Here is a 19838-nt window from a genome sequence, read left to right on the forward strand (position 1 = left end):
GCCTAACAAACAAGCACTCTGATGTCCATGTTCACTGTTGTTCTCTCGACCCAGTCTGCTTTCTCCACTTTCTACTTGGTTCCTATCCTCCTTGTGGCCTGGATAACACCTACTTATTCCTGGAGACTCCACTAAAATGTCAACCATTAGAACTGCACTGTCAAAAACAGCAGCCATTAGTCAAATGTGGCTACTTACATTCAAATTAAGATTAATGAATATTAAAAATCCAGTTCCTCAGTCACACTGTCCACAATTTGAGTGCCCAACAGCCACATGGGGCTGGCTAGTGGCTACTGTGTTGGGACAACACAGCGTGGAACATTTTCATCATCACAGAAAATTCTATTGGACAGAGTTTCTCTAGAGGAAAATGTCTTTGTTAACCCTCTCCTAAAGAACTCGTGTACTTTTATAAGCATACTCATCACTTCCTAAAATGAGTGTTGATTCTTTTACTCCATAAATTGTGAACTTCTTGAAGTACCACTTAAATCCATACAAATTTGCTAAATGAACTGTTGAATAATTGGTTAACAAGCCTTTTTAAAAATCAAAGTCAAGTAACAACAGGTGCTGGTGAGGCTGTGGAGAAACAGGAACGCTCTGACACTATTGATGGGAATGTAAATTAGTTCAACCATTGTGCAAGACAGTGTGGTGGTTCCTCAAAGACCTAGAACCAGAAATACCATTTGACCCAGCAATCCCATTATTGGGTATATACCTGAAGAAATAGAAATCATTCTATTATAAAGATACATGCATGTGTATGTTTGTTGCAGCACTATTCACAATAGCAAGGAGATGGAATCAACCCAAATGTCCATCAGTGATAGATCGGATAAAGAAAATGTGGTACATATAGACAATGGAATACTATGCAGCCATAAAAAGGAATGAGATAATGTCCTTTGCAGGGACATGGATGGAGCTGGAAGCCATTATCCTCAGTAAACTACTGCAGGAACAGAAAACCAAACACCACATGTTCTCACTTATAAGTGGGAGCTGAACAATGAGAACACATGGACACAGGGAGAGGAACAACACACACTGGGGCCTGTCGGCGGGTGGAGGGAGAGAGAGCATCAGGATGAATAGCTATTGCATGCAGGGCTTAATACCAAGGTGTTGGGTTGATAAGTGCAGCAAACCACCATGGCACACACTTACCTATGTAACAAACCTGCACATCCTTCACATGTACCGCAGAACTTAAAATAAAATTTGAATTTTTAAAAAAGCTTTTTGAAAAATAAACCTCTTAATTGTCTGGAGGCTCAGACAATTTCCATGAGGAAGAGTGCCTGATATCTTTGCTTTCAGAACCTGGTCCTGAGAGATTTTGTCTAGTTTTGCTTCCTATTCCGTTTCTCAAACCATTTCTAATCCTTAACCCATTCAGGCAAGCGGAGCCCTCCACCACGTGGCCAGAATTTCCTGACGTCCAAGAAAGGGCATTAAACAATATGGCTTCTGAGAAAACATCTAATATCAGATAAGTCATTGAATATAAAAGTTCATCTCTGTACTCACAGTGCCAGAGTCAGTGCCTGGCCCACAGTAAACACCTAAAGAGTATTTATTGAAAAAAATGAATGGGTTGTTATTTTATCAGGGACTATACTCTTAGGGAGGAATGAGGTACAAGGGGAGAGATGCTGGAAAGGATGGAGAGCCAATATGGAGGAGTACTGAGCTGCCGAGTGTGACTGATTGCTCAATCCACAGACCACACTCCCAAGAAGGTGGATAAATGGGAGCTCAGAACCAGCCCTGTGATGGAGTGGGGAAAGGGAGAAGAACTTACTCCCGGGATGTGCTTGGTCTAAGATTCACCCCCTTGCTCCTCTGGATTGTGCATTCCAGAGCGTGGGCATTAGTGGAGTCTGCAGTGATGTCAACATGGGAGTGTTGGGTGGGAGATGAGAGGGGTACTGGTGTGAAATTGGCTGGGGCCCACACAGAGCTGGAACAAGAGATGGGGAGGCCGAGGCTCTGGAGTGGTGCATAAACAGGTGTTGGGCACAATGTATATAAATTAGCCTTTTAAATTATCTACCATCATGGGCAGGACTTGAGACTGGAGGATAGGCCATTTGGGGAAGGTTTATGTGGGGTGTTCTCATATTCAATTCCTGGCAAGGTTCTAGGTACATTGGAAGTATCAATAAGAATCAACTGGTTGATTGCATAGAGGCATCTAAGCAGGCCAGTATGATACTAGGTACTAGGTTCCTAAAGGGGGACACTGATGGAGGGGAAGTGAATGTGGGGACATGAGGAGAAATGGTGGACAGAAAGGGGCTGAAAACAAACTTAATCCACTTTATAATTTTGTCTGGGTCCAAGCTGACTTGGAAATATTCCCTATGTCCTCTCCTTTGTTCTAAAAGCACCCAGAACCCCTTCCGAAGTTTCTTCTTTAATAAGATTTCCTAATCATTATAAAACCCACTTAAGACCCAGGTAAAGGTTGTGCTCCTAAGGATCAATAAACTCAACTTTCCACTAGATTTTCCTGAAGCCCAAGCACTGCTCTCTTTGTTTTCAGCATATATCACCACCGCCTAAGTTAGGTCTGTTGTCCAGTAAGTAGATAGTATAGCTCTCTTTTGCTCCACACATTGTCTACAGCTGACAGGTATCATTTGGAGAATAAAATTAGCAAATGTTATTGCTGTGTCTATTTATATTTTATTAATCAACAGATTTTTAGCAAATTTTGGTTTTATCTCCATGAATCATAGACTTGAAAGGCCAAAGACACTCCAGGGAATTCTTTATTTTAGCATCTTCTTTCCAGGCAAAAAGACAGGACATCCCCATTAGAGTTGTTGTATTGGACCCCTCGTGTGCACCACTTCAAAGTCCTCTTGGGTTGTTCCTCTTATTTCAGCCACAGCTGTAGACACCTGTTTTCCTGGAGGCTTTGAGCAGCTTGGCACAGGTGCTCTAGGACAGTGGCCTCACCTTGACCCTCATAGGGATCTCTTGCTTCCTGCCCTAGCCATCTCTAATCTTGGTTAATAGTTCTAGAAATCCACTCTGCACTCAAGCACAACCCAGCAGTGCAGGGGAGTTAGTCTTGTGAGGGCCAGTCTAGACCAGTGAAGATCTGGAGTCAGTGGATAAAAGCACTCCATTTCATCCCCTGGCAGACAGTTCTGAAACACTTCATAAACCCTTTCACCAGTCCACTGGGATCAACCAGCCAATGCAATGACACAGGCTTCTGTTGGCTCCTCCCCTCACTTTCTTCCACTCCCCCTTTCTGCATTTCTGCTCCTGAGGATCACATTTCCAAACAAGCTACTTATGCACAAGTCCCCAAATGCTGAGCCAGAGACTAAGGCTTGTGCATAAGTAGTCTCTGGCTCAGCTTTTGGGGGACCCTAGGCTAACACAAGTGGTTGGCAGTCTTAGATTGGGTTTGCAAAATCTCATACCCTGGATTCATGCTCCCAGGGTGCATCACCCATGATTGGTCCCTTGATGCACCCACCACCTCCCCGACAGAAGGACTCCTCAACTACAGTGATGTGGTGTGTGTGTGTGTGTTTGATGTGTGTATTTTTTCCAAGGCTGAAATAGGAAACAGGAAAGAGACATTCCCTGAGAACTTTTGTGCCTACCCTTTTTTTGGTTCTCTCACTTGTCTCCTTTATACAAGGAGGACACAGATTTAGAGAGGCCAGATAACTCATCCAAGACCACACAGCAAGAATTCAAACTAGAATTTGAACCCAGTCCTGTGGATTCAAAGTCCATAATCTTTCTACAGCATGGGAACAGCAGACAAATCCTTATAAGTCTTGAGCATCCTTTTACTTCCACATGTACTCCTTGAAGATCTATAGGACACACTTTACATAAGGCATGACCTGTAGATGTGCAGTTTCACTCTTTTCTGGGGTCATTTCTTCTCAGGTCTCTGCATTTGGTCCTTCTCCATCTCCTTTGGAAAACAAGGTGCTGAGCTGCTTTCCTGGCTCATTTTGACTCTCAGTGTAAAAAGTGTTCTGCTTTGTTGGCTAGATTTTCCCCTTTTCTTCCTCCACTGGGTCACATACTTTCACCACGAAGCCTTTTGGCTTATCTTTTTATTCTCCTTTGCCTCATTAGAAGCATAACTACAGACTCCCTTGGTGCAAATTCCTTCACTCTAGGCAGAAGTGCAGAAGCTACCACGTGGAGAAGCATTTCCCAGACATCTTCAATGTCTCTTCAAGCTTGACTTGGGGGAATGCATAGGAAGGAAGGTGAACATCATAAACCCATGGAGACCACTGACACAACCCTCATCTTCCAAGGTGCTTGGTTAGAGTGAGTGTCTCATCCCTACGGCCCCCACAGGAACCACGTGGATGCCCTGTGGCAGAAAACCCCCAATTTCATCTCAGTCTCTAGATTCCAGGAGGAATAACCAAATCATATTATCTTATCTGCCTGCTTTATTTCACTGCGTTCATGAAACACCTTCACAGAAAAGAATTTCATTTCTTTCCTTGCCTAGTGTTTTTTCTTTTTGTGCAGAAATGAGAACTGATGTTCTTTCTCTCCAAGTGTGGGATGAGAATAACACTAACTCCAAAGGTTAGAAAGAAAGAAATCCTCTGTACATGAATGACACAAATAGTCTGGCCTCTTCACTAACAGGTGCAAAGGGCCATAAGAGCCAATTGCAGTGTATTGCCCTAACTCCGAGCTTCCGCATCAGGCAGTGCTGAAACAGGGCCTGCCTGCTTCCTGCCAGCGCCATCTGGCAGGTGCTAGTGTGGCTCAGCCATGAGCCAGGCTGTATAATTGCCTCAAATCATGGTGGGGTGCTTCTCTGAAACCCTTACCCCTACCATGAGTGCAACTGTCACATAGAAACCACTTAGGAAGCTAGAAGTCATTCATCTGACCCACTCCACAGAGCCTGGCTCACAGGCTTATGGGATGACTTAATCAGAAAGCTAATTTTCATGTTGGGTGGGTGCCACCAGCAAGGAACACATGTTAGACAGCTGAAAGTGACCTGGGCCAGGCCTCATACCAGTCCAGCAATCTGAAGAGTTCTTGAACTTCATTTACCCTATTATACACTCAAGTCTTCCTGCATTCAGTCTTTCCATATTGCATTGCCTGCTGTTTTTAAAACATACCATAATATTACTACTATGTTTAATACTATGTATATGAAAATATAATATGGCTTTAGCATCTTTGTTTCTTTTTTTTTGAGATGGAGTCTCACTCTGGCTGGAATGCAGTGGTGCAGTCTTGGCTCACTGCAACCTCTGTCTCCCGAGTTCAAGCGATTCTCCTGCCTCAGCTGCGCAAGTAGCTGGTATTACAGGTGCGTGCCACCACACCCAGCTAATTTTTGTATTTTTAGTAGAGATAGGTTTCACCATTTGGCCACTTTGGTCTTGAACTCCTGACCTCAAATGATCTGCCCGCTTTGGCTTCCCAAAGCACTGGGACTATAGGCATTAGCCTCTGCGCCTGGTCTGCATCTTCTTTTCTACTTCCTGTGTAAAGCCCTCTTTTCATTTATCTAGGAAGACATATTTAATGCTGCATTATTTTATTTTTAATTATGCTTATATTCTTTATAAGCTGAGTTACATGTTTTCTTGGCTTAATCAAAAAAGATACTGCACAACTGGGACTATGGGGAAATCACAAGGACCTTAAGGTCTTGGGTCTCACCAACAACACAGATTATTCTTCTACCTTTCCTTAAAATGAGCACTCTAAAAATGGTCCAACAAACTGGAATTTCAGAAACATCTTCATGCTTCATACCAGTTGATACAATATTTATCTTAACTGGCATCAATCGTTTATACAATACCTATCTTTATTAGTCTCCTAATGGCAACCCATTGCTTCTTGTGGGCTTCTTGGTAGTTAAGACTAAAAACAAAGACAATTTCTCTGTTCCTGTAACAAACACCTAATAACTCTCTTTCCCTGGGTTGTCTTCTCCTAACCAGAAATCAGAGCCTGTATCCAGTCTTATTAATTGACCTCGTTGAGTTTCTAGGTTTCCAATTCCACGTGTTTTGAGGGAAAGAAAAAGTTATTCTCTTTTTAAGGTATAAGGAAAACACAATAATCTCAACACCTCCTCTTCCCTCCAACAGCAGATGAATAATAGGGGGTCTCCAACCGGACAGAAAATGAATGCTGTCCTCACATTTGTGTAAGAGGAGCCGAGACATCTGGATGTGAAGCCCCATCAAGTGCTCCCAGGGGCAATGGTGGCACCTGTGGAACCTCCAACAGCTCATGGAGCCCCACCTTCTGAAAGATGTTCAGAGCTGAGTGTGCGGGAGCCGTGGCTCATACAGGGCTTTGGGAGACAGAATCACATTTAGAAAGTAAGGCTGTGTGACAATACCCAGGGCACATTCCCAGCTGTCCCTGCCTTTATCGTTTGTAGGGACCTGGTGCTTTGCAGTTCTCCTGGATCCTGCATAAACCCTGGAGCTTTGGGATACAGGCTAATGGAATATCCTTGCCCCTGGGGGAGGGCTACACTGGTGTCCTCACCCTTGACTTCATGGTGATGGTGGTTCACCTTGCAGATGGATCCCAATGTCCCTCTGTGAGACATAGATGATTTCACAGCACAGCTTTTTTGGGGTCTATCCTGATCTGACCCAGTTTAACAGTGGGTAGAGTCCTCCATGTCTTTCTCCATCATCTCCTGGGAACCAGTTTCACACCTGACCTCTATTTTATGCTTTCCAAATTACACAGGAAAATTTGGCTTCCTTCTGGAAACTCCTAAAGTGCAAAACACTCATGTTTTTAACTGCTCCATCCCTATTATAATAGTCAATACATATTAAGCACTTACTGTGTGCCAGGCTGTCTGTGCCAAGAAATTTGCAAACATTAGCTTACTTTATCTTTACAGGAGTTCTCTGAGATAGGTATTATTAACATATAATGGTTTGTTAATACAAAGTTTCACAGATGCTTCCAGAATTCACAAAAAACTGTGCACAGTGTCTTTAAGAATTAACTGGCACATTCATACCTTGATGAGAGCATTCTCTTTTAATCATGCCCTTCTTATTTGCCATACCATTTACAACAAAATACACCATTGATGTTTAGCTAAATGAAAGCTGAAAAAGAAAATTGGTGAATGAGAAAGCCAGTGGTCATGAAAGTGCTAGAAATATTCAGCAGTTTGAATAGCTCTGAACTGTGTAAATCATTTGAAATATTCCTTCCCCCACCTATGAACTGATTTTTATTGTTTTTCATAAATTTTTTCTTTTTTTCATAGTATTAATGTATTGTATGTGTTTTCAAATATTTTCTCATATATGAAAAGGGCCATTCCACAGTGTTCTTTGTAAGCTTTCCCTCACATCATTGTTTTGGATGAGGCTTTATGCTTCTCAAAGCAGTGAGATAACAGATAACACAGAAGCCATGTGCTGGCACTTCTATTCAGGTTGGCATGGCCTCAACCATTTTGAGTCAAATTTCTGTCTAGTCTAGTAGGACCATTTCCTAAAGTTGTATCCATACTAGGAAGGCAGATATGAAGAAATGCTGCTATGCTACCAATCAGAATAATGTAGGCTTTGGGGTCCTGGGCTGGTAAAGCCTGGGTATGATGGCTAAATTGAGCTGTTCTTACCCAGATGAGGCTTATGGTCATCTGCTCTGTCTCCAAAGGTAATCAGCCACTGCACATGAGGTTTACTACACTGCACACGCATGTGTGTTCTCTAGGTAAATTTAAATGATATTTTTTGGGGGGAATCTGAGCTCAAAGAGATAGAGTTCAAATCAGATCCAGTGTCTTTTCTGTCTCTAGGTGCCCAAAATTGTCATAAAGAGACAATCTCTTACCTTCTGAGAAATATCAGTCATTCCCTGTGACTCACACCAGCTTCTATATTTAGAACTGGGTCTCCTGCCATCTGATGCAGGCCACAGATGAACAGGTCTCCTGCCATCTGATCCATACGCCACACTTCAGGCTATGTTATCCCTAAGCCCACCACATCCACTTACGATTGAGGACAAAGGAAAAAGAAAGGGCCATCATCTTTATGTGTCTTTTAAAGGACATTCCTGTCAGTAAGAAGAAAGAGTCTAAGATTTTACCCCGCTAACAAGTTATCCTATTACAGTTTTATAGAGCAGAGGACAAAAAACTACTGGGTCAAAGACAAAGACTTTATTCCATATAGCAATAGCAGTAGCCAGAGTATCAGTAATTTCTTGAACTGGTTCCTAAGACTCCAATTATTCCAATAGGGTGTTATAAAGAGGGCCACATGACACCCACACACACAGCAGATTGCATTACATGAGAGAAAACTCTGAGCTTAGGGAACCAGAATCTTTTATAATAAGCGGTAAGCATCCCTCCATGCTCTAGAAGGAAACACTTTCTCTGCCACTTAAGGCTACTTATTATACAACTGTTATTTTAAAAAACAGCTCTGGAACAAAGGGCAACCAGTGCCTCTGCTTGCAAGATGTGTGATTAGAACTATAGAGAATTTTCTCCCAAGAATCCTTTGATTTTGCTGTTGCCAGTTATGGCAAAAAGGCATACTGTGGCTTTATAATATAGCAATTGCTCCCTCAATAGGCAACCACACACTTTCGGTCAGGGTTCTTGGGCACTTGGCTTTGGGCCTTGAGAATCCCATGGTTTCCAAAGAGAATGTAAATATAAATAATGATGTTTGATTACACGTGTCCGTATAAAGGTATTCCACTTTGAAAAGTAACTTAGGAAAAAACAAAAACCCCAAAAAAGCCCACTTAAAATTTCACACATTTTTTAAAAGGGAAACGGTTTTATTCCTTACGCTTTATTTGAATTGGAACCCTGCATTTAAATTTTAGCATGTTGAGGTTCTTTAGAAAGGAAAGATAAGTTTACATACAATCCCAGACAGAATATAAAAAAGACTCATCAAAAGAGAATTCTAATTCCAGTCAAGTGACCCTCTTTCTACAAATTGTTAATTAAAAGCTCAAGGGTAAAATAGGACAAAAAACCCATTTATTCATTTTCAGATAAAGGTCAGTTCTTCCATGGTATAACATTATTTTCCCTAGGGCAGTTATATTCATACATAGAATCTACTTTAGCAAAAATATTATCTGTTTAACTGGAAATCTATACAGATAATTAAATTCCTGCTATCTCACACAGCTACCTCTAGTCTTATGGAATAAATGAGTGCACATCAGGATTTTTAATTTTCTCATTAATATAGCAAATAAGTAAAATTCATTTACACGGCATTTCTTCACTTTTAAAGAGCAATGTTTCCTGTTCACTCTGCACTTTTAAAGTGTAAACACAACATTCTTGCCATAAGAGATAAAAAGACTATATTCTCTTCAAAAAAGTGCTTTTATGTGAATAAAAAGGAAGTGTATTCGATTTTGTAGAATCATCACAAACAGAACTTAAAATCACACTAGAAATAGATGCTAACAGAAAGCTGTTGAGTTTCCTTGCAAACAGGAAAAGAAGCAGTGGATGTTCCAAAACTGGGGATCCTGTCAATGGCTGGGTCTGCTTAGTTGTGTGCAGTGCTCTGAAAGGGCTACATCAGAAATTCCTTAGTAAATGAGTAAGTGAGAGTCAGAATCTAAAGGCTATGCCTGCCTTGGCAGCACATAAACAGACACCTCAACTGTGCAAAGATGGCTGGCATAACCTCTGTGCAAGAGAAACACATGCCCACAAAGTATTCCATGCTTCTGAAAGTGCCTAAAAGATGTGGGTGATAGTGTCTACAATTCCCCCATCATCTCCTGGCTATTTCAGAGTGAAGAAATGAGCGGGGCGGGGGTGGGGGTGGGGGGGGGTTGGGGGGGGCGGCGGTGGCGGGAAGAGGACATGCAATGAGCAAGTCTTTTGCTTTTAAAATATATGACCACATTCTCTAGAGGATTGTTCTACAGTGTTAGTGTAAATTCAGTAAAAATGTTGAGGGAAGAAATGCTGATGGCAGCCTGGTGAATTCAGTCATGTGAAATCCAGCTCCTATGAATGGTTCAATACCTGAAACAGTATACAGGCATCTTCATTACTCTTCTTACATGCATGGCACTTTGTGCCGGGCACTGCTCTCCTGCTTTACAAATATTAACTTCTTTTAATCCTCATAATGACCTTATCAAGTACTATTATTATCCTCGCTTTACAGAAGAGGAAACTGAGGCACAGTATATGCAGGTTGTTCACAGTCATACAATTGATAAGTGGCAGAACCAGGACTTGAGCCTGGGAAGTATGGCTTTGGGCTGGGACTACAGGGAGCAAGTGAGGCATTTACCTCAGATGCAAAGGCCAGGGAGGCATCAAAAACTCGAATCATGTCTTCGTGCTGTATTTGAAAAAAAAAAAAAAGAAAAAAGAAACTCAACAGTAATGTAAAATAGCCATTTGAACAAAATAACCAAAGTTTAAATAAAGACAGGATCAGCATTGCTGATTTTTCCCTTTTGTCTCAGGTTTCAACAGGACTTGGCAAGGAGTTGCTTTAGACTATGTTTTATCTTCCAGGGCATAAAACCTCCTTTTTAAACATCTCTCTTTTCTTCATAGCTCTGATTTCACTTTGTAATTGTACAAATATAGTGAGTTTGTTTGGTGACTGTCTCTTTTCCCTCTAGATGTAAACTTTATGAGACCAGGGGTCTGTCTTGGGTCACCTTTCATCCAAGTCACGCAGAAGGAAGGGTCTCACTGGGAGGGAAAGGATGGGTGACGGGGAAGGGGTCCAGGTGTCATAAGAAGGTAGCGACATGTTCCCTACAGGTTACACACTCGCATATGATACAATTCTATCCAACTGGAGGAACACACTGAAAAGGTAATGAATACAAAGCTAGATGAAACTGTAATGAGTTATATGCTTGAATAATAAACTCCATTAATCAGTCAGTTAAATAATCAAATGCCTATATGCCCAAATCATAAAATAAATTGGGTTCAATGCAAGTTAGAATTTCTTTCAAAACTGAAAATGGGATACAGACAATATTTCATCCTGTAGCTACAGGACCTAGCTTTTATCACTTTTAGGAGTAGCAAGGAGTAAATGAAATTTTCTAGCCATGTAAAAGGTTTTGGAAGGCTAGAAATCTTAGCAAAGCTTCCTTAGACAGTAACCATACTGTGCTTACAGGTTTATCTAATTTTACAGTGCAAAGAAACATTGCTTCTTTCCTTTGTGTTCATTAGAGTTCAAAATGTTTCAGCAGATACAGCTTCCATTATCTTCACAACCTATCATGAGCTTGGAAAATAACAGCTTTCCCTATTTCATAAATCACTCTTATTCCTATTTTGTAAGGAGTTGTTTGTTTGGTTACTTGAAGGACTATCAAATTGGAAAAGGCAACATGATAAAAGCAATAGTTTGAGACTCAAAAATAATTCAGTAGGAAAGCCAATCATTGTTTCTGGTACATCCTGGATTCTGAGTTGGAACTGGGCTTTAGGGTTTGCCATAAGAAAACTACCTAGTGATGCCTTTGCATGGTCCCTCAGTGAGAGAAAAGACCAAGCACCCCCCTTCAAGGTTCCCTTCTTGTGGAGGCTTAATAATAATTCATTCATTTAATAATTCACAGATAGGGAGAGGGTTTCACAGTTAAATCTGAAACTTAAAAGGGCTATTTATGCTGAATTTCTGCTATTGAGACTTTAAATAGCCAGGTTAACATAGTAACAGACTTTTTTTTTTAAGACGAGCACCTCTGAGCACACAAATAACTATACTAATTCAAGATCAGGAAGTGGTCTACACTTACGTCCATAGCAACGACATTATTCACAAGAACCGCAAGGTAGAAACAATCCAAGTGTCCATCAAAGAATGAATGGATAAGCAAACTGTGGTATATGGTTTCCACATACAGTGGGAAATTATTCAGCCTTAAAAAGGAAGAAAATTCTGATACTGAGGACATTACGCCAAGTGAAATAAGCCAGTCAGAGAGGGACAAGTATTGTATGATTCCATTTATATGAGTTACCCAGAATAGTCAAATGTGAGAGACAGAAAGATTCATGCTTGCCAGGGGCTGGAAGAAAGAATGGAGAGTTCAGAGTTACTATAAATGGGTTTAGAGTTTCAGCTGGGGAAGAGGAAAAGTTCTGTAGATAGATGGTGGTGATGCTGGCACAAGGTGAATACACTTAATGCTACAGAACTATACACTTAAGTGTTCCAGCTCTTTCAGAATTTGTCTAGCAGGTTTTCTGGTTTTCATTAGAAAACCCCCCACACAAAGAAAAATTAAAAATAAATAAAAATGAGAGCTATACTTAAAAATGGTTAAAACGATAAATTATGTATATTATGTTATGCATATTTTACCACAATAAAGATCAAACAGCTACCAGCAAGAAGTGGACTTTTAAAAATTACGGTTTCCAAATGTAACATAAAACATATACTTAAAGATTTACATCTCCACACTTCCAGTAACAGGCAAATATGCTAGAAAAGAGGCTCTTAAAAGGAAAAAATAGTCTTCTGCTAGGACACGATGGATGATATTCATTCAAAACACACTCCTACACTGTGCCCACACTTTCTCTTCCATTTAGGAAGGTATATTAGAACCTAACAAAGTGACCAGGCACGGTGGCTCACACCTGTAATCCCAGCACTTTGGGAGGCTAACGCGGGCAGATCACTTGAGATCAGGAGTTTGAGACCAGCCTAGCCAACATGGTGAAACTCTCTACTAAAAATACAAAATTAGCCAGGCATGGTGGCACATACCTGTAATCCCAACTACTTGGGAGGCCGAGGCAGGAGAATTGCTTGAACCTGGGAGGCAGAGGTTGCAGTAAGCCAAGATTGTGCCATTGTACTCCAGCCTGGGTGACAACAGTGAGACTCCACGTCAAAAAAAAAAAAAAGAACCTAACAAACTGACCGTGAGATTACCATAGGGTAACCTGAAGTTCTTACCCCATTTACTTTTTGATTAAGTAATTTACAAACTCTGGTATTTTATTACTGTTAAAACTTCTTGGGAGACAACTCACACTCTTCCTGGCATAACATATGCTGAAAACTGTTGGGCTGGGGTCACATGGAGCATAAACTAGCAAGCAAAATTTAGCATAAACATAAGTCACTTCAGAGAGTTCAGCCACACTAGCTGAACAAATGAAGTGATTGATTTTATCCCCTCAAGTAAGACTTATGAGCAAAAAGGGAAAAAGCTAAAAATGTCTTGGTACTAATTTTAACTGTATGTAATGGAAACCTCATTTCCTATTCTAAATTTATAATTCTGATCTTATCAATCATCTCAGAACAGAGTAACATATCTGGATCTAAAATTACTCAAGAAGGCATTTATGCCCTCCTGTGAGTATTATCTTCTTGAAGAGTGAATTTCACCACTGTTTTTAAAGTATCACATGGTCTTTTATAAAGTCTAGTAGGAATCAAAGTTGTATATCGAATAGAATTTCTTTATTCACATTCCAATTTTTGTAAAAGATGAGATCCACATTATCTGCCATTAATTTAAGTAAAAACACCAGCAACTATTGGGGCAGTAACTGCTCTTTGCTGAACACACACACTCCTAAAGTAGGGGTTAGTGCAGGCTCACCATCATTTATCCAAAAGCTCTGAAAAATGCAAGTTTTGATGACAAACCTGACCAGTTGACGATCTTTATTTATCCCACTAAGTGTAAATGTTTGTACGTTTTACTGAAGAGTTACTAATATGTTTGATCATAGGGTACTGTTCTAGACCCCACTGGGGGTGTTATAAAACATTTATATATGTTATACATATTTTTATATATTTATATACATAGCACCCTATTTTTAGAATTTTGATTTTAAAAAGGTAACATATATATATCACTTTGATTATATATATTTATATATCATGTTATCTTTCAAAAATAAAAATACTAAAAATAATCCAGAATTCTATTTTTTTCTTTATTATTATTATACTTTAAGTTCTAGGGTACATGTGCACAATATACAGATTTGTTACATAGGTATATATGTGCCATGTTGGTTTGCTGCACCTATCAACTCGTCATTTAAGTATTTCTCCTAACGCTATCCCTCCCCCAGCCCCCCACCTGCCAACAGGCCCTGGTGTGTGATATTCCCCTCCCTGTGTCCATGTGTTCTCATTGTTCAACTCCCACTTATGAGTGAGAACATGTGGTGTTTGGTTTTCTGTCTTTGTGATATTTTGCTGAGAATGATGGTTTCCAGCTTCATCCATGTCCCTACAAAGGACATGAACTCATCCTTTTTTATGGCTGCATAGCATTCCATGGTATACATGTGCCATATTTTCTTTATCCAGTCTATTATTGATGGGCATTTGGGTTGGTTCCAAGTCTTTGCTATTGTGAATAGTGCCGCAATAAACAAAAGTGTACATGTGTCTTTATAGTAGCATGATTTATAATCCTTTGGGTATACACTCAGTAATGGGATGGCTGGGTCAAATGGTATTTCTAGTTCTAGATCCTTGAGGAATCGCCACACTGTCTTCCACAATGGTTGAACTAGTTTACAGTCCCACCAACAGTGTAAAAGCGTTCCTATTTCTCTACATCCTCTCCAGAATCTGTTGTTTCCTGACTTTTTAATGATCGCCCTTCTAACTGGTGTGAGATGGTATCTCATTGTGGTTTTGATTTGCATTTCTCTGATGACCAGTGATGATGAGCTTTTTTTCATATGTCTGTTGGCTGCATAAATGTCTTCTTTTGAAAAATGTCCATTCATACCTTTGCCCACTTTTTATGCGGTTGTTTTTTTCTTGTAAATTTGTTTAAGATCTTTGTAGATTCTGGATATTAGCCCTTTGTCAGATGAGTAGATTGCAAAAATTTTCTCCCGTTCTGTAGGTTGCCTGTTCACTCTGATGATAGTTTCTTTTGCTGTGCAGAAGCTCTTTAGTTTAATTAGATCCCATTTGTCTATTTTGGCTGTTGTTGCCATTGCTTTTGGTGTTTTAGTTATGAAGTCTTTGCCCATGCCTATGTCCTAAATGGTATTGCCTAGGTTTTCTTCTAGGGTTTTTATGGTTTTGGGCCTAACATTTAAATCTTTAATCCATCTTCAGTTAATTTTTGTGTAAGATGTAAGAAAGGGATCTAGTTTCAACTTCTACATATGGCTAGCCAGTTTGCCCAGCACCATTTATTAAATAGGGAATCCTTTCCCCATTGCTTGTTTTTCTCAGGTTTGTCAAAGATTAGATGGTGGTAGATGTGTGGTGTTATTTCTGAGGTCTCTGTTCTGTTCCATTGGTCTGTATCTGTTCTGATACCAGTACCACACTGTTTTGGTTACTGTAGCCTTGTAGTGTAGTTTGAAGTCAGGTAGCGTGATGCCTCCAGCTTTGCTCTTTTTGCTTAGGATTGTCTTGGCTATGTGGGCTCTTTTTTGTTCCATATGAAATTTAAAGTAGTTTTTTCCAATTCTGTGAAGAAAGTCAGTGTTAGTTTGATAGGGATAGCATTCAATCTACAAATTACCTTGGGCAGTATGGCTATTTTCAGGATATTGATTCCTCCTATCCATGAGCATGGCATGTTTTTCCATTTGTTTGTGTCCTCTTTTATTTCACTGAGGAGTGGTTTGTAGTTCTCCTTGAAGAGGTCCTTCACTACTCTTGTAAGTTGGATTCCTAGGTATTTTATTCTCTTTGTAGTAATTGTGAATGGGAGTTCACTCATGATTTGGCTCTCTGTTTGTCTGTTATTGGTGTATAGGAATGCTTGTGGTTTTTGCACATTGATTTTGTATCCTGAGACTTTGCGGAAGTTGCTTATCAGCTTAACGAGATTTTGGGCTCAGATGATGGGGTTTTCTAAATATACAGTCACGTCATCTGCAAACAAAGACAATTTGACTTCCTCTTTTCCTAATTGAATACACTTTATTTCTTTCTCTTGCTTGATTGTCCTGGCCAGAACTTCCAATACATTTTGAATAGGAGTGGCGACAGACGGCATCCTTGTCTTGTGCTGGCTTTCAATGGGAATGCTTCCAGTTTTTGCCCATTCAGTATGACATTAGCTGTGGGTTTGTCATAAAGCTCTTATTATTTTGAGGTACATTCCATTAATACCTCATTTATTGAAAGTTTTTTAGCATGAAAGGCTGTTGGATATTGTTGAAGGCCTTTTCTGTATCTATTGAGATAATCATGTGGTTTTGGTCACTGGTTCTGTTTATGTGATGGATTACGTTTATTGATTTGCGTATGTTGAACCAGCCTTGCATCCCAGGGATGAAGCCAACTTGCTCGTGGTGGATAAGCTTTTTGATGTGCTGCTGCATTCGGTTTGCCAGTATTTTATTGAGGATTTTTGCATCGATATTCATCACAGATATTGGCCTAAAATTCTCTTTTTTTGCTGTGTCTCTGCCAGACTTTGGTATCAGGATGATGCTGGCCTCATAAAATGAGTTAGGGAGGATTCCCTCTTTTTCTACTGATCGGAATAGCTTCAGAAGGAATGGTACCAGCTCCTCTTTGTACTTCTGGTAGAATTCAGCTGGGAATCCATCTTGTCCTGGACTTTTTTGATTGGTAGGCTATTAATTATTGCCTCAATTTCAGACCTGTTATTGATCTATTCAGAGATTCAACTTCTTCCTGGTTTAGTCTTCAAAGAGCGTATTTGTCCAGGAATTTATCCATTTCTTCTAGATTTTGTAGTTTATTTGTGTAGAGGTGTTTATAGTATTCTCTGATGGTAGTTTGTATTTCTGCGGGATCGATGGTGATATCCCCTTTATCATTTTATTTTGCATCTATTTGATTCTTCTCTCTTTTCTTTATTAGTCTTGCAGGCGGTCTCTCAATTTTGTTGATCTTTTCAAAAAGCCAGCTCCTGGATTCACTGATTTTTTGAAGGGTTTTTCGTGTCTCTATCTCCTTCAGTTCTGCTCTGATCTTAGTTATTTATTGTCTTCTGCTAGCTTTTGAATTTGTTTGCTCTTGCTTCTCTAGCTCTTTTAATTGTGATGTTAGGGTGTTGATTTTAGATCTTTCCTGCTTTCTCTTGTGGGCATTTAGTGCTATAAATTTCCCTCTACACACTGCTTTAAATGTGTCCCAGAGATTCTGGTACATCGTGTCTTTGTTCTCGTTGGTTTCAAAGAACATCTTTATTTCTGCCTTAATTTCGTAATTTACCCAGTAGTCATTCAGGTGCAGGTTGTTCAGTTTCCATGTAGTTGTGCGGTTTTGAGTGAGTTTCTTAATCCCGAGTTCTAATTTGATTGCACTGTGGTCTGAGAGGCAGTTTGTGTGATTTCTTTTCTTTTACATTTGCTGAGGAGTGTTTTACTTCCAATTACGTGGTCAATTTTAGAATAAGTGCGATGTGGTGCTGAGAAGAATGTATATTCTGTTGATTTGGGGTGGAGAGTTCTGTAGATGTCTATTAGGTCTGGTTGTTCCAGAGTTGAGTTCAAGTCCTGGATATCCTTGTTAATTTTCTGTCTTGTTGATCTGTCTAATATTCACAGTGGGGTGTTAAAGTCTCCCATTATTACTGTGTGGGAGTCTAAGTCTCTTTGTAGGTCTTTAAGAACTTGCTTTATGAATCTGGGTGCTCCTGTATTGGGTGCATATATATTTAGGATAGTTAACTCTTCTTGTTGCATTGATCCCTTTACCATTATGTAATGGCCTTCTTTGTCTCTTTTGATCTTTGTTGTTTTAAAGTCTGTTTTATCAGAGACTAAGATTGTAACTCCTGCTTTTTTTTTTTGCTTCCGTTTGCTTGGTAGATCTTCCTCCATCCCTTTATTTTGAGCCTATGTGTGTCTGTGCACATGAGGTGGGTCTCCTGAATACAGCACAATGATGGGTCTTGACTCTTTATCTAATTTGCCAGTCTGTGTCTTTTAATTTGGGCATTTAGCCCATTTACATTTAAGGATAATATTGTTAGGTGTGAATTTGATCCTGTCATTATGGTGCTACCTGATTATTTTGCCCATTAATTGATGCAGTTTCTTCATAGCGTTGATGGTCTTTACAATTTGTCATGCTTTTGCAGTGGCGGTACTGGTTGTTCATTTCCATGTTTAGTGCTTCCTTCAGGAGCTCTTGTAAGGCAGGCCTGGTGGTGACAAAATCTCTCAGCATTTGCTTGTCTGTAAAGGATTTTATGTCTCCTTCACTTTTGAAGCTTAGTTTGGCTGGATATGAAATTCTGGGTTGAAAATTCTTTTCTTTAAGAATGTTGAATATTGGCCCCCACTCTCTTCTGGCTTGTAGGGTTTCTGCAGAGAGATCCGCTGTTAGTCTGATGGACTTCCCTTCGTGGGTAACCCGACCTTTCTCTCTGGCTGCCCTTAACATTTTTTCCTTCATTTCAACCTTGGTGAATCTGACAACTATGTGTCTTGGGGTTGCTCTTCTCGAGGTGTATCTTTGTGGTGTTCTCTGTATTTCCTGAATTTGAATGTTGGCCTACCTTGCTAGGTTGGGGAAGTTCTCCTGGATAATACCCTGAAAAGTGTTTTCTAACTTGGTTCCATTCTCCCTGTCACTTTCAGGTATACCAATCAAATGTAGATTTGGTATTTTCACATTGTCCCATATTTCTTGGAGGCTTTGTTCATTTCTTTTCACTCTTTTTTCTCTAATCTTGTCTTCTCGCTTTATTTCATTAATTTGGTCTTCAATCACTGATATCCTTTCTTCTGCTTGATCGAATAGGCTATTGAAGCTTGTGTATGCTTCTCAAAGTTCTTGTACTGTGGTTTTCAGCTCCATCAGGTCATTTGAGGTCTTCTCTACACTGGTTATTCTAGTTAGCCATTCATCTAAGCTTTTTTCAAGGTTTTTACCTTCTTTGTGATGGGTTAGAACATGCTTCTTTAGCTCGGAGAAGTGTGTTACTACCAACCTTCTGAAGCCTACTTCTGTCAACTCGTCAAACTCATTCTCTATCCAGTTTTGTTCCCTTGCTGGTAAGGAGTTATGTTCCTTTGGAGGAGAAGAGGCCTTCTGGTTTTTGGAATCTTCAGCCTTTCTGCTCTGGTTTCTCCTCATCTTTGTGGTTTTATCTACCTTTGGTCTTTGATGTTGGTGACCTAGAGATGGGGTTTTGATGTAGATGTCCTTTTCATTGATGTTGATGCTATTGCTTCCTGTTTGTTAGTTTTCCCTCTAACAGGCCCCTCCGCTGCAGGTCTGCTGGAGTTTGCTGGAGGTCCACTCCAGACCCTGTTTGCCTGAGTATCACCAGCGAAGGCTGCTGAACAGCAAGTATTGCTGCCTGATCCTTCCTCTGGAAGCTTCATCTCAGAGGGGCACCCACCTGTATGAGGTGTTTGTCAGTCCCTACTGGGAGGTGTCTCCCAGACAGGCTACACAGGGGTCAGGGACCCACTGGAGAAGGCAGTCTGTCCATTATCGGATCTCAAATGCAGTGCTGGGAGAACCACTGGTCTCTTCAGAGCTGTCAGGCAGGGACGTTTAAGTCTGCAGAAGTCGTCTGCTGCCTTTTGTTCAGATATGCCCTGCCCTAGAGGTGGTATCTAGAGAGGCAGTAAGCCTTGCTGAGCTGAAGTGGGTTCTGCCCAGTTTGAGCTTCCCTGCCACTTTGTTTACACGGTGAGCACAGAACCAGCTACTCAAGCCTCAGCAACGGCGGACGCCCCTCCCCGCACCAAGCTCCAGGGTCCCAGGTCAATCTCAGGCTGCTGCACTAGCAGTGAGCAATGCTCCGTGGGCGTGGGACCTGCCACACCAGGCACAGGAGGTAATCTGGTCTGCTGGTTGTGAAGACCATAGGAA

At 40.5% G+C, this 19838-nt stretch overlaps 1 protein-coding gene and 1 pseudogene across 105 annotated transcripts in view, besides 1 other annotated feature; one reads left to right on the forward strand and one right to left on the reverse strand.

Annotated features, from left to right (window-relative positions):
- NRCAM (neuronal cell adhesion molecule) overlaps window positions 1–19838 on the reverse strand; it is a 309072-nt gene that overhangs the window by 111125 nt on the left and 178109 nt on the right. The window contains exon 4 of one of the 105 annotated variants that reach the window (NM_001371141.1): window positions 10332–10382. The exons of 103 other annotated variants lie outside the window; for them this stretch is intronic. The gene's annotated coding sequence lies outside the window, so the exon portion shown is untranslated. Of the gene's footprint in view, window positions 1–10331; window positions 10383–12794; window positions 12893–19838 lie in introns of all 105 variants that reach the window. One more of the 105 variants, NM_001371171.1, reaches the window with a different exon arrangement.
- On the forward strand, window positions 12228–12287 carry RNU7-83P (RNA, U7 small nuclear 83 pseudogene; annotated as a pseudogene).
- Window positions 15808–16008: a silencer, noted in NCBI's record as "peak6682 fragment used in MPRA reporter construct". NCBI's record gives its function as "represses an SCP1 promoter by STARR-seq MPRAs in K562 erythroleukemia cells {active_cell/tissue: K562}" and the evidence as "EXISTENCE:reporter gene assay evidence [ECO:0000049][PMID:32103011]".

The sequence above is a fragment of the Homo sapiens genome, chromosome 7 (assembly GCF_000001405.40).
Source record: "Homo sapiens chromosome 7, GRCh38.p14 Primary Assembly".
NCBI lineage: Eukaryota > Metazoa > Chordata > Mammalia > Primates > Hominidae > Homo > Homo sapiens.